Below are 13,430 nucleotides of genomic sequence, written 5' to 3' on the forward strand. Positions count from 1 at the left end.
GTTCAAAGCTGTGCCTGCTGCTCTCATATTTCCAGAGGGTTTGGGGGGCTTTGTGAATCTCATGAAGTAATGTACATACCCATGTGTGTATTGCCAGAATGAAGGCATGCCTTATCTCATTTCGTCCACACGAAATTTGGCTGATGTGGATGCGGAGGCAGAGCAGGGACAGTCTACTCGTGTGAGGTCACGCAGGTAGAGACAGAGACAGATGTGGGGCCAGGCAGGCAGCCAGAGGTCCCCAGGCTGCAAAGCCCTGCTGAGTGACACTAATGGCCTGATGTGGCGATGGTGTGCAGCAGGCGGAAAAGAATGTCTGGGAAATGGTTACAGGGATTTGGCTTCAAGCCTAGCGGAGGCGGGGAATTAGAGGAGGTGGTTCCAGCGTAGCGGGGTGGGGTGAGGGGCGTTTTCTCATCATCCACTTCCCATGTCCAGCCCCCTCCCTAGTACACATTGTGTGGCTACAAAAACGGTGACCTGTTCTCATGCACAGCTGTGGGAGGGCAGACAGGGACAGCCACGTTGGAAAACCGTCAGGCTCTATGCAGGCTGGCCACGTGCGCATCCCTTCCTCCACATGCACACACGGGAAATGGGTGCACACACCCGCCAGGGGCACGCAGACACGAATCCCCTTGGCAGCGTCCTTTGTAAGGAACTCAAGGTGGAGACGGCCCAAATATCCGTCAACGGGAAGACTCGCTAGATAAACCCACTGTGGCGTGTTCCTCGGATGGAATCCCGCACGGCAGTGGGATGATGATCTAGCTGCCCGCAAACCTCTCTGGGCCATCGTTCAAACATGATGTTGAGCAAAAGCAGAAACAAAGGACGACGTGATCTGCAATTCCTTTTTTATTTTTATTTTTTGACAGAGTCTCGCGCTGTCCCCCAGGCTGGAGTGTAGTGGTGCGATCTCCGCTCACTGCAAGTGATCCGCCTCCCGGGTTCAAGCGATTCTTCCGCCTCAGCCTCCCCAGTAGCTGGGACTACAGGCGCCCGCCACCACGCCCGGCTAATTTTTTGCATTTTTAGTAGAGACGGAGTTTCACTGTGTTAGCCAGGATGGTCTCGATCTCCTGACCTCGTGATCTGCTTGCCTCGGCCTCCCAAAGTGCTGGGATTACAGGCGTGAGCCACCGTGCCCGGCCAATCTGCAATTCCGTTGATGGAAAGTTCAGAACAGGCAAAGGCACGGGATGGAGCCACAGCTGCACGCTCATCTGACCTGCGGTCCCTGTAAGGACAGTGATGATGGGAAAGTGAGGAGAGAGGTTTTCTCTGCAGGGACAAGGGGGCTCCAACTGGGCCACCTTCTGAGGGGCCTCACTGCAACCTCTGCCTCCCAGGTTCAAGTGATTCTCCTGCCTCAGCCTCCTGAGTAGCTGGGACTACAGGCATGTGCCACCACACCTGGCTAATTTTTGTATTTTTAGTAGAGACGAGGTTTTACCATGTTGGCCAGCATGGTCTCGATCTCTTGATCTGATGATACGCCTGCCTCGGCCTCCCAAAGTGTTGGGATTACAGGCGTGAGTCACCACGCCTGGCCTACAGCCTCCTTTTTTAAGGCTGAATAATATTCCATTGTATGGATGGGCCACATTGCGTGCATTCATTCATCAGTCGATAGATACGTCAGTTGCTTGCACATTGTGTTCTGCATTCTTTTCTGGATGTGTGTTATATTTCACACACACAAAAACTTTAAAATAACATGCTTTGTTATTTGCATGGCCTGGGATTGAATGGCAGGCACCCCAAGGCAGAGGCGGGGCCCGTGACCTGCCCCGTGGGGCACTTCTCACCTAGTTCAGTGACTCTCACACCCACGGGTGGGGCACGGTCACACCCACAGTTCCTCTCATTCCATCACCAGCACTGAGGGGTGACATGGGCTCTGCTCACACACTGGGCCTGGAGGCTGCCCCTCAGGCCAGAGTCCCCACACCCTCCCGAGGCCCAGGGGTTCTCTGTACACTGCCTGTCTCCACTGCCTGCTCTCTGGACAGGAAACTGGGGTGTGAGGTGACCACAGGCTGTCTGCCCCCAGCCAATCCTAACTGTCCCTCTTGTTCCTCAAACTCTATCACTCGCTCCTTTTTCTCTTATGCCTCCCTTTCTGCCTCTTTCTCTCTCTCTCTAGGTCTCTGTCTCCTCCCTGGGTCTCTGTCTCTCTCTCTCTCTCTCTCTCTCTCTGGGTCTCTGTACTCCCCTGTCTCTGGGTCTCTGTCCCCTCCCCCTTCTGGGTCTCTGTTCCTCTCTCTCTCTCTGAGTCTCTGTCCCCCTCTCTTTGGGTCTCTGTACCAACTCTCTCTGGGTCTCTGTACCACCTCTCTCTGGGTCTCTGCCCTCACAGTCTCTCTGGGTCTCTTTTTTTTCCTCTCTCTCTCTCTCTGTCCCTCTTTCTCTGGGTCTCTGTCCCTATCTCTCTGGGTGTTTGTCCCCTTCCTCTCTGAGTCTCTATCCCCTTTCTCTGGGTCTCTGTCCCCCCAACCCTCTGGGTCTCTGTCCCTCTCTGTCTGGGTCTCTGTCCCCCCCTCTCTCTCTGGGTCTCTATCCCTCTCTCTCTGAGTCTCTGTCCCCCTCTCTCTGGTTCTCTGTCCCCCTCTCTCTCTCTGGGTCTCTATCCCTCTCTCTCTGAGTCTCTGTCCCCCTCTCTCTGGTTCTCTGTCCCCCTCTCTCTGGGTCTCTATCCCCTGTCTCCTATCTCTGCCCCTCTCCCTGTGTCTCAGTGCTTTGTCTCCTTTTTCCTGTCTTGCTCCTCCCTCCCTCCCTCCCTCTGTCTGTCCCTCCCTCCCTCCCTTCATTTCTTCCTTCCTTCCCTCCCTCCCTCTCTCCCTCCCTTCTTTCCCTCCCTCCCTCCCTTCTCTCCTCCCTTCCTTCCTTTCCTCTTGCCTGCCTGCCTTTCAGACTCTGTTTGAGAACCCCATGTTCTGTGTGACATTGGGCAGGAGGCTTCCTCTCTTTGTCCCTCAGTTTCCTCACTGCACCATGGCACTCACTGGGCTGACCTGAAACTGAAGGGAATCACTGTGTGTCCTGGACACCTGGTATTAGTGGACGCTGAACCAAACCCACGGCCCACATGGGTTGAGAGTGTGGACTCTGTGCCAGGCCACATGCCAAGGCCTAGCGCCTCCTTTCATCCTCACGGTGTGCTGTAAGGGAAGCAATGGCATTGTCCCCATCTACAGATGAGGATGATGAGGTTGTACAACTTGCCCCAAATCGGACAGTGAGTAGGAGGCAGGGCGAGAACTTGAACTCGGGCTGCCCGGCCTCAGAGCCTGTGCTCTAACCCTACGCTGTGAGGGTTTCATATTGGCTGTTACGTGTATCGGTAATCGGGATTTCCCAACGTCAGCGCTACTGACGTTTGGGGCTGGATGATCCGTCCTTGTAGGCCCCGACCTGTGCACGGTATAGGATGTGGGCAGCATCTCTGGCCTTTACTCACTAAATGCCAGCAGCACCCGCACTCCCAGCTGTGACAACCATAGATGTCCGTAGATAATGCCAAAAGTCCCCCACCTGTGAATCACTGTATTCAACACAGTGTGCAGGATCAAGAATACACGGTACTGGCCGGGCGCGTGGCTCACGCCTGTAATCCCAGCACTTTGGGAGGCTGAGGCGGGCGGATCACGAGGTCAGGAGATCGAGACCATCCTGGCTAACAAGGTGAAACTCCGTCTCTACTAAAAATACAAAAAAAAAAAAAAAAAAATAGCCGTGTGTGGTGGCGGGCGCGTGTAGTCCCAGCTACTCGGGAGGCTGAGGCAGGAGAATGGTGTAAACCCGGGATCGCGCCACAGTACTCCAGCCAGGGGGACAGAGCAAGACTCCATCTCAAAAAAAAACAACAAAAAACAAACAAACAAAAAATACATAGGCCAGCGAGGACTCAACCAAAATAAAAAAATCTGAAGTCCTTTGGGCTTCAGAAAACACCATCCAGAAAGTGAATGGACAGCAATATAATATAAAAATATATTTACAACCGGGTGCTCATGCCTGTAATCCCAGCACTTTAGGAGGCCGAGGTGGGTGGATCATTTGAGGTCAGGAGTTCAGGAACAGCCTGGCCAACATGGCAAAACCCTGTCTCTACTAAAAATACAAAAATTAGCTGGGTGTGGTGGTGCGTGCCTGTCATCTCGGCTACTTGGGAGGCTGAGGCAGGAGAATTGCTTGAACCCAGGAGGCGGAGGTTGCAGTGAGCTGAGATTGCACCATTGCACTCCAGCCTGGGCGAGAAAGCAAGACTCTGTCTCAAAAAAAAGAAAAATTAAAAAAAAAAAAGAAAATGCTCTGGAATTAGATAGTGGTGATAGTTGTGCAAACATGAATATACTAAAACCCACCGAATTGCACGTTAAAATGGTGAATTTTATGGCATGTGAATTATATTTTTAAAAAAGTTTAAAAGGTAGTTTTTTTTTTTAAAGAGTGTGGGCTGTAGTGTCAGGATCCCAGCTTTGCCCCTTATGAACTGTGTGACCTGTGCATATCCCCCCGTACCTCAGCGTCCTTGTCTGTAAAATGAAGACAACATTAGCATCTCTACAATAGTTTCGCTGTGAGGGGCAAATGGGATGATGAATTTAAAATCCTTGTACACAGACATCGTTCTGTAAATGTGAGCTGGGAGCACAGAGGTATGGCCTGTGAGTCACCTGAAAATTCTGTTTGGTGAGAACTCAGCTCACATCCTCTCTCCCACTAGCCCCTGGCCCCAACCTGCCTCCAGTCCACCTCCCAGCCAGGAAAGTTTTATACTGTATGCATGCACTACTTTGGACCAAAATCTAGGGCCTTTCTTTCTTTTTTTTTTTCTTTTCTTTCTTTCTTTTTCTTTGGAGACAGTCTGGCTCTGTCGCCCAGGCTGGAGTGCAGTGGCATGATCTCGGCTCACTGGAATCTCTGTCTCCCAGGTTCAAGCGATTCTCCTGCCTCAGCCTCCCAAGTAGCTGGGACTATAGGCATGTGGCACCATGCCCGGCTAATTTTCTGTATTTTTAGTAGAAATGGGGTTTTACCACATTGACCAGGCTGGTCTCGAACTCCTGACCTCAGGTGATCCACCCGCCTTGGCCTTCTAAAGTGCTGGGATTACAGGTGTGAGCCACTGAGGCCGGCCTCTAGAGCTTTAATTTTTATTTTTAGAGATGGGGTCTCACTATGTTGCCCAGGCTGGTCTTGAACTCATGGCCTCAGGCGATCCTCCCACCTCGGCCTCCCAAAGTGCTAGGATTACAGGTTCGAGCCACTGTGCCTGGCCAGGGCTTATTTTATGCCACAACACTGCATAGGAAAGAAAAATCTTAAAGATTGTAAGGCATCATGCAATCATGAAAAGCTAATTATTTTCTGTACCTCCAAGACCAAAGGTTTTAATCTCAACCTAAAAAAACCCCAGTCATGGAACATGCATTAAATATTTGACATAATGAGTGCCTAGATGTGCTTTTGAGTTGTAGAGCTATTTGGCTATTAAAAGTACATTCAGCCTGGTGGCTCCTGCCTGTAATCCCAGCCCTTTGGGAGGCTGAGGTGGGCAGACCTTGAATCTAGGAGTTTGAGACAAGCCTGGGCAACACAGGGAGACCCTGTTTCTACCAAAAAAAAAGAAAAAGAAAAAAAAAAAGCTGGATGTGGTGGCTCACAGCTGTGTTCCCAGCTACTTGGGATGCTGAGGTGGGAGAATCCCTTGGGCCTGGGAGGTCAAGGCTGCAGTGAGCCATGATCACACCACTGCACTCCAGCCTGGGTGACTGGGTGAGATCCTATCTCAAAAAGCAAGAAAAGAGAAAAGGAAAAAAGGGAGGAAGGAAGGAAAGAAGGAAAGAAGGAAGGAAGTGAGGGAGGGAGGGAGGGAGGGAGGGAGAGGGAGGGAGGGAGGGGAAATAATCCAGCCTCAGGGGCATTTCCAAGGAAAATGCTGTCCTGGTCACAGGACACTGCTCCACCCATGGCTGAGGCAATTGTCCCTCCCTCACAGATCTTATCAGACTGCAGGATGGTATCGGTTTCTCTTTCCCTTGAGGACTCAGCCCTCCCCACCTCAGACAGCGACCGCTCTAGGCCGGAACCTTATCTGAGCTCCCTAGGCCTCCAGAACCCACCCGTTTCTAGCCACACGGTAGACATGCCTGTTTCATGCGCACACTCATTCATAGACACAGCACATGCACCACCTCTATGCCAGGCACAGTTCTAGACACGGGGGCTACACCAGTGACCAGCTCAGACTCAAACCCCTGGAGCTATGTTCTAATAAAATAAGCACATGAAATATATAGTATATTTCATGGTCTTCGGCACTAAGGGGAAATAAATAAAGCAGATAGGGAGGGTGGGAGGAGGTGGCAGGAGGTGCTGTTAATTTCCAGGGTTCTGCAGAGGAGAGGAGACCTCACCAAGAAGGTGATATTCAGGTAAAGTCCGGAAGGAAATGAGGAGCAAATCACAAGGTCATCCCAGGGAAGAGCCTTCTGGGCAGAGGAAACAGCAAATGCAAAGGCCCTGGGGTGAGAACGTGCCTGGCCTTTTTTTTTTTTTTTTTTTTTTTCTGAGACAGAGTCTCACTCTGTCGCCCAGGCTAGAGGGCAATGGTGCAATCTTGGCTTACTGCAACCTGCGCCTCCTGGATTCAGGCGATTCTCCTGCCTCAGCCTCCCAAGTAGCTGGAATTACAGGCATGGCCACCATACCCGACTAATTTTTGTATTTTTAGTAGAGACGGGGTTTTGCCATGTTGGCTAGGCTGGTCTCGAACTGCTGACCTCAGGTGATCCACCCACCTTGGCCTCCCAAAGTGCTGGGATTACAGGTGGAAGGATCGCTTAAGCCCAGGAGTTCAAGACCAGCCTGGGCCACATAGAGAGATCCCATCTTCACAAAAAATACAAAAATTAGCCAGGGGTGGTGCATGCCTATAGTCCCACTTACTTGGGAGGCTGAAGTGGGAGGATTGCTTGAGGCTGAAAGTTCGAGTGTAGCACCTGTTCTGTGCATACACTTTGTGTCCTTCTGCCACAGGACCTTTGCACATGCTGACTCTTCTGCCTGGACCACCTTACTCTCCCATTCTACCTAATAACCCCTACTCATCTTTCAACTTAAAGCTCAATGAGGACACCTTCTAAGGGAACACCTTGGGATGGTCCTGACAAGGTCAAATTCCTCTGTTAGATGTTCTCAGAACACTATGCATTTTTCCATGGTAGCCCTCAGCAGGGAGGGGAGTTTACATTTTTGGGTGTGACTGCCTGATTAATGATGGTCTTCCCCACCTGAACGTAAGCTCCACGTGGACATGAACTTGCTCCCTGCTGTGTCCCCAGCCCCTCGAACAATACCTGGTACACAGTAGGGGCTCAATAAATATTTGTCAGATGAATGAGTGAATGTATGAATGAGAAAAATAACAAGAATGCAGGCTAACAACTAATGAGCTCAGACAGGAAGGGATAAATACAAGCCACGTTGCAAAGGAAGAATGGGTGAGAGATGGATTTGGAGAGAGAATAATAATGACCTGGCTGGGGCCGGCTGTGGTGGCTTACGCCTGTAATCTCAGCACTTTGGGAGGCCAAGGCGGTGGATCACGAGGTCAGGAGATCGAGACCATCCTGACTAACATGGTGAAACCCTGTCTCTACCAAAAACACAAAAAATTAGCCAAGCGTTGTGGCGGGCGCATGTAGTCCCAGCTACTTGGGAGGCTGAGGCAGGAGAATGGCGTGAACCCGGGAGGCGGAGCTTGCAGTGAGCCGAGATGGCGCCATTGCACTCCAGCCGGGGTGACAGAGCAAGACTCCATCTCAAAGAAAAAAAAAAAAGACTAAACTAAGCTGTGCCTGTGTGCAAGGAATGTGCATGACTGGCAAGAAATGTGCCTTGTCAGTCCCAAGATGGAGCAGAACTGAAAATGGGGTTATTCTGGCTCTCCTGGGCTCCTGTTTCCTTAATGCTTCTGGTCCACGGATCACATCTCAGGAGTAAGGCTCCAGGGCTGGGTTTCTCAGCCGGCGCTGTTGACATTTGGGGCCATACAATTCTTTGTTGCTGGGGGCTGTGCTGTGTGTTGAAGGATGTTGAGCAGCATCTTTGGACTCCACTTTTGTTTTTTTTTGTTGTTGTTGTTGTTTTTGAGACAAGAGTCTTGCTCTGTCGCCCAGGCTGGAGTGCAGTGGCCTGATCTCAGCTTACTGTAACCTCCATCTCCTGGGTTCAAGAGATTCTCATGCTTCAGCCTCCCCAGTAGCTAGGATTACAGGCATGCACCACCAAACCCGGCTAATTTTTTTTGTATTTTTAGTAGAGACGGGGTTTCACCATGTTACCCAGGCTGATCTCCATCTCCTGACCTCAGGTAATCCGCCCACCTCGGCCTCCCAGAGTGCTGGGATTACAGGTGTTAACCAACGCATCCAGTCTTGGCCATTTTAGATGTCAGGGGACCTCCCCACCAGCCAGGAAAATCAATCAAAACTGTCTCCAGACATTGCAACGTCCCCTGAGGGACACTATTTCTCCTGTTTGAGAATCACTGATCTGATATGATCATACCTATAGCAGTCAGAATGAAATGTGTTGTGTTGTGTTGCAGGAATAAACCAACCCCAAATCTCAGAGACATGAAACAGCAGAGATATGCTTCTTACTCATGCTAATGCCCATCACAGCCAGCTGAGGACTCTACCTCCACAGCTTCAGAGTTCTGACTATCGAACCCAGGCTAACAAATCAGCCACTCGTGGGACATTGCTTCCAGTTACTAAGGCTGAGAAGCCAACGTGCCTAAATCCTCCAGTGCCAATGAAATGACACGTATTCCTGGTCTCATTTCATTGGCTCAAGCAAGTCACATGACAGGAAGTACAATCTTATATGCTCAGAGGAGCAAACAACAAAATATCTGTGAACGGTCTATTGCAATGTACCAACATTTGCATATAAGTATTCACACTATCTGCCGGACGCGTTGGCTCACGCCTATAATCCCAACACTTTGGGAGGACGAGGCAGGTGGACCATTTGAGGCCAGGAGTTTGAAACCAGCTTGGCCAACATGGTGAAACTCCATCTCTTCTAAAAATAGAAAAAAAAACTTAGCCGGGTGTGGTGCAGACGCCCGTAACCCCAGCTACTCGGGAGGCTGAGGCAGGAGAATCGCTTGAACTTGGGAGACGGAGGTTGCAGTGAGCCGAGATCGTGCCATTGCAGTCCAGCCTGGGCGACAAGAGTGAAACTCTGTCTCAAAGAAAAAAAAAAAAAAGAATTCATATTATCTTATTAAAGTTATTTTACCTTATTTCTCCTTTATCTTACGGTTATTTGATTTTTTTTTCTTTTTGAGACGGAATCTTGCTGTGTCACCCAGGTTGGAGTGTAGTGGCATGATCTCGGCTCACTGCAACCTCCGGCTCCCGGGTTCAAGCAATTCTCCTGCCTCAGCCTCCCGAGTAGCTGGGACTACAGGCGCCTGCCACCACGCCCAGCTAATTTTTTTTTCTTTTTTTTCAGTAGAGATGGGGTTTCACGTGTTAGCCAGGATGGTCTCGATCTCTGACCTCACGATCTGCCCGCCTCGGCCTCCCAAATTGCTGGAATTACAGGCTTGAGCCACTGCGCCCAGCCTATTTCTCCTTTATCTTAAAGTTATTTGATTTTTTAAAGTTATGTGTGTAAATAGTTTAGATTACCCATGGACTTTATTCCAGCAGAGTACAGAGGAAAAACAGGACATTTGTAATAAAAGGGGGACCTTGGCATACCCAACCATGATGCACATGTATGTTCACCAAAATCCACGTACTAAAACACGGATTGGCTAACTACAGGGGCTAAATTCAGTCTACAGCCCGTTCTTTTATGAGCCAGAGCTAAGAATGGTTTTTGTTTTTAAAGGGTTGTAGGCTGGGCACGGTGGCTCACGCCTCTAATCCCAGCACTTTGGGAGGCCGAGGCAGGCGGATCACGAGGTCAGGAGTTCGAGACCAGTGCGGCCAACATGATGAAACCCCGTCTCTACTAAAAATAGGAAAATTAGCAGGGCATGGTGGCGGGCACCTGTAATCCCAGCTACTCGGGAGGCTGAGGCAGAATTGCTTGAAACCAGAAGGCAGAGGTTGCAGTGAGCCGAGATCGCGCCACTGCACTCCAGCCTGGGCAAAAGAGCGAAACTCCGTCTCAAAAAAAAAAAAAAAAAAAAAAAAAAAGGGTTGTTTAAAAAAAAAAAAAAAGAATATGTGACAAAGTTTTTTTGTTTTTGAGACGGAGTCTTGCTCTGTCGCCCAGGCTGGAGTGCAGTGGCATGATCTCGGCTCACTGCAATCTCCACCTCCTGGGTTCACGCCATTCTCCCGCCTCAGCCTCCCCAGCAGCTGGGACTACAGGCGCCCACCACCATGCCCGGCTAATATTTTGTATTTTTAGTAGAGACGGGGTTTCACCGTGTTAGCAATCTCCTGACCTTGTGATCCGCCTGCCTCGGCCTCCCAAAGTGCTGGGATTACAGGCTTGAGCCACCGTGCCCGGCCTGTGACAAAGATCTTATATGATTCCCTAAGTTTAAAATATTTCCTCTCTGGGCCGGGCATGGTGGCTCACACCTGTAATCTCAGCACTTTGGGAGGCCGAGGTGGGTGGATCACCTGAGGTCAGGAGTTCGAGACCAGCCTGGCCAACATGGTGATACCTCGTCTCTACCAAAAATGCAAAAATTAGCCCAGTGTGGTGGCGCACCCCTGTAATCCCAGCTACTCAGGAGGCTGATGTGGGAGAATTGCTTGAATCCGGGAGGTGGAGGGTGCAGTGAGCCGAGATCGCGCGACTGCACTCCAGACTGAGTGACAGAGAGAGACCCCGCCTCAAAATAAAATAAAAAATAAAATAAAATAAAATATTTCCTCTCTGGCTCTTTGTAGAGAAAGTTTCACAACTCCATAAAAGACTGCCCTTAGAAACCCTATTGTAATAACCCCAAACTGGAAACTACACAAACATCCATCCGTCCACCATTGAATGGATAAATAGATTGTGTTATATTTGTACAATGGAATGCCATCTAGTAGGGGTTGACAAACTTTTTCTGTTAAGGACCAGATAGTAAATATTTTCAGTTTTCTGGGCCATGTGGTCTCTGCTGCAGCCATTGCCAGGCTTACACAGCTATAGACCACAGTGAATGAATGGGCGTGGCTTTGTTCCAATAAAACTTTATTTACACAAACAGGCAACAGTCTAGAGCTGACTCCAGGTTGTAGGTTTCCAGCCTGTGCCATTCAGCAATGAGAGTCAACAATCAACATACAACCTATGTTAAATGGAGGAAGACAGACTCAAAGGAGTACAGACTGTACTGTTCCATTTCTATAAAGTTCAAGAACAGGAAGAAGTAATCTATGGTGTTAGAAGTCAGAATAGTGGTGACCCTTGGGAGAAGAAGAGGGACAAGAGGGCTTGGGGATGTTCTGATTTTAAAATCTGGGTGCTGGCTTCCTGGGCTTGTTCACTTTGTGATAATTTGTTGAGCTGTACATTCACAATGTTTGCACCATTTTTGTGTGCATTTATTCTAAATAAAGCTGGGCAAGGGTGCTGCCTGTGACAGTCTGATACCTGGCACAGCAGCTGCACAGCGGAAACCCCCAGCTTCTCACCGGAATTGGGATCTGACAGCTTCTCAGCCTCACAGCTGTTGGAGCTTCTCAGATCCACTGATTTAGTGAATTTGACACGGCGGAAAAATTCTCAGGTTCTTACAAGAACCACGCCTCAGTGACTCTCCTCTTTCTTAATCTCACCACTTTCAAACCAGGAAATGAGCAGAGAGAAAAAAAAAACAAAAACCAACAATAAACCCATTTAAATACCTCTGAGACACCAAGGGAAATGTCCTAAACGCCAGGTAATGAAGTCCATGTTCTTTACTCCTGGGAAAGCGTTGCTAATTCATCTCCTTCATGCTGTGACTCACGCATCTCTGGTGAAGAGAGGCCTCCCCAGACCACCTGATCTAAGGGAGCAGCCCCTCACCCCAGCGTTTCCTGGCAGTCTTCTCTGCTTTCTGTTTTGCCTTCATGAGTGTAAGAAACTGAATTTTGTCTCCTCCTAAAAAAGAATTGTTGACATCCTAACCCCCAATACCTCAGAATGTGACCATATTTAGAAACAGGGTCATTGCTGATGTAATTAGTCAAGATGAGGTCATCCTGGAGCAGAGTGAACCTCTAAACCAATTTGACTGGTGTCCTTATAAAAATAATGCCATGTGGGCTGGGTGCGGTGCCTCATGCATGTAATCCCACACTTTAGGAGGCCAAGGTGGGCAGATCACCTGAGGTCAGGAGTTCGACACCAGCCTGGACAACACGGTGAAAGCCCGTCTCTACTAAAAATACAAAAATTAGCCAGGTGTGGTGGCACACACCTGTAGTCCCATCTACTCGGGAGGCTGAGGCTAGGACAGAGGACTGGGACAGATTCTCCCTCGTGGACTTCAGCAGGAACCAGCTCAGGCAACACTGCAAATTTCTGGCCTCTGGAATTGTGAGACAATAAATTTCTACCATTTAAGCCACACAGTTTCTGGTGCTTGGTTACGGCTAATACAGATGGATAAAATTCAGATATGGGGGAAGGGGAGGATGGGCATTCAAGGTGAAGGGAACAGCCTGGGCAAAGGTTAGGAACCAGGACACCACTAGGCTTCCACAGAGAAGGATGCGAAGTTTAGTGTCATGGGGTTGTGGTGTGCATTACTATAGGATGCTGCATCTCAGGGACACTTGACCCATGCTCACTGTCCCCTTCTCAGTTCCAGACGTGTGTCTCTGACAGGGTCTGGCCAGGCAATCGAAAATCACCTTAGGTCTTTCAACAGGAGGTAATTTAATAGAGGGGATTGATCACACAGAGCATGAAAGGACTAAAGAGTTATATGCTGCACAGGGAGGCATTCTAGAGAGTCTGTACGTAGAGTACGGCTATCTGTCTATCTATCTTTTTAAATTTTTATTTTTGAGACAGAGTTTCACTCTTGTCGCCCAGGCTGGAGTGCAGTGGCACTGTCTCAGCTCACTGCAACCTCCGCCTCCCGGGTTCAAGCGATTCTCCTGCTTCAGCCTCCTGAGTAGCTGGGATTACAGGTGCCCACCACCATGCCTGGCTAATTTTTGTGTTTTTAGTAGAGACAGGGTTTTGACATGTTGGCCAGGCTGGCCTTGAACTCCTGACCTTAGGTGATCTCCCCGCCTTGGCCTCCCAAAGTGGTGGGATTACAGGCGTAAGCCACTGTGCCAGCCTATCTATCTATCCGTCGGTCTGTCTGTCTATCTATCTATCTACCTTTTCAGAGACAAGGTCTCACTCTGTCACCCAGGCTGGAGTGCAGTGGCTCAATCACAGTTCACTGC

General features: G+C 49.7%; 1 long non-coding RNA gene across 1 annotated transcript in view, besides 2 other annotated features; it reads right to left on the reverse strand.

The window, feature by feature from the left end:
* Positions 1 to 840: 840 nt before the first annotated feature.
* Positions 841 to 13,430, reverse strand: part of LOC124904746 (uncharacterized) — a 35,889-nt gene continuing 23,299 nt past the window's right edge. Inside the window, exons 2-3 of the long non-coding RNA XR_007067298.1 lie at positions 11,889 to 12,126; positions 841 to 1,240 (exon numbers count right to left, since the gene is read on the reverse strand). This is a non-coding gene — a long non-coding RNA (uncharacterized LOC124904746). The remainder of the gene's footprint in view (positions 1,241 to 11,888; positions 12,127 to 13,430) is intronic.
* Positions 11,284 to 11,363: an enhancer, noted in NCBI's record as "active region_14975". NCBI's record gives its function as "activates an Ori minimal core promoter by ATAC-STARR-seq in GM12878 lymphoblastoid cells {active_cell/tissue: GM12878}" and the evidence as "EXISTENCE:reporter gene assay evidence [ECO:0000049][PMID:35858748]".
* Positions 11,603 to 11,682: an enhancer, noted in NCBI's record as "active region_14976". NCBI's record gives its function as "activates an Ori minimal core promoter by ATAC-STARR-seq in GM12878 lymphoblastoid cells {active_cell/tissue: GM12878}" and the evidence as "EXISTENCE:reporter gene assay evidence [ECO:0000049][PMID:35858748]".

The sequence above is a fragment of the Homo sapiens genome, chromosome 19 (assembly GCF_000001405.40).
Source record: "Homo sapiens chromosome 19, GRCh38.p14 Primary Assembly".
NCBI lineage: Eukaryota > Metazoa > Chordata > Mammalia > Primates > Hominidae > Homo > Homo sapiens.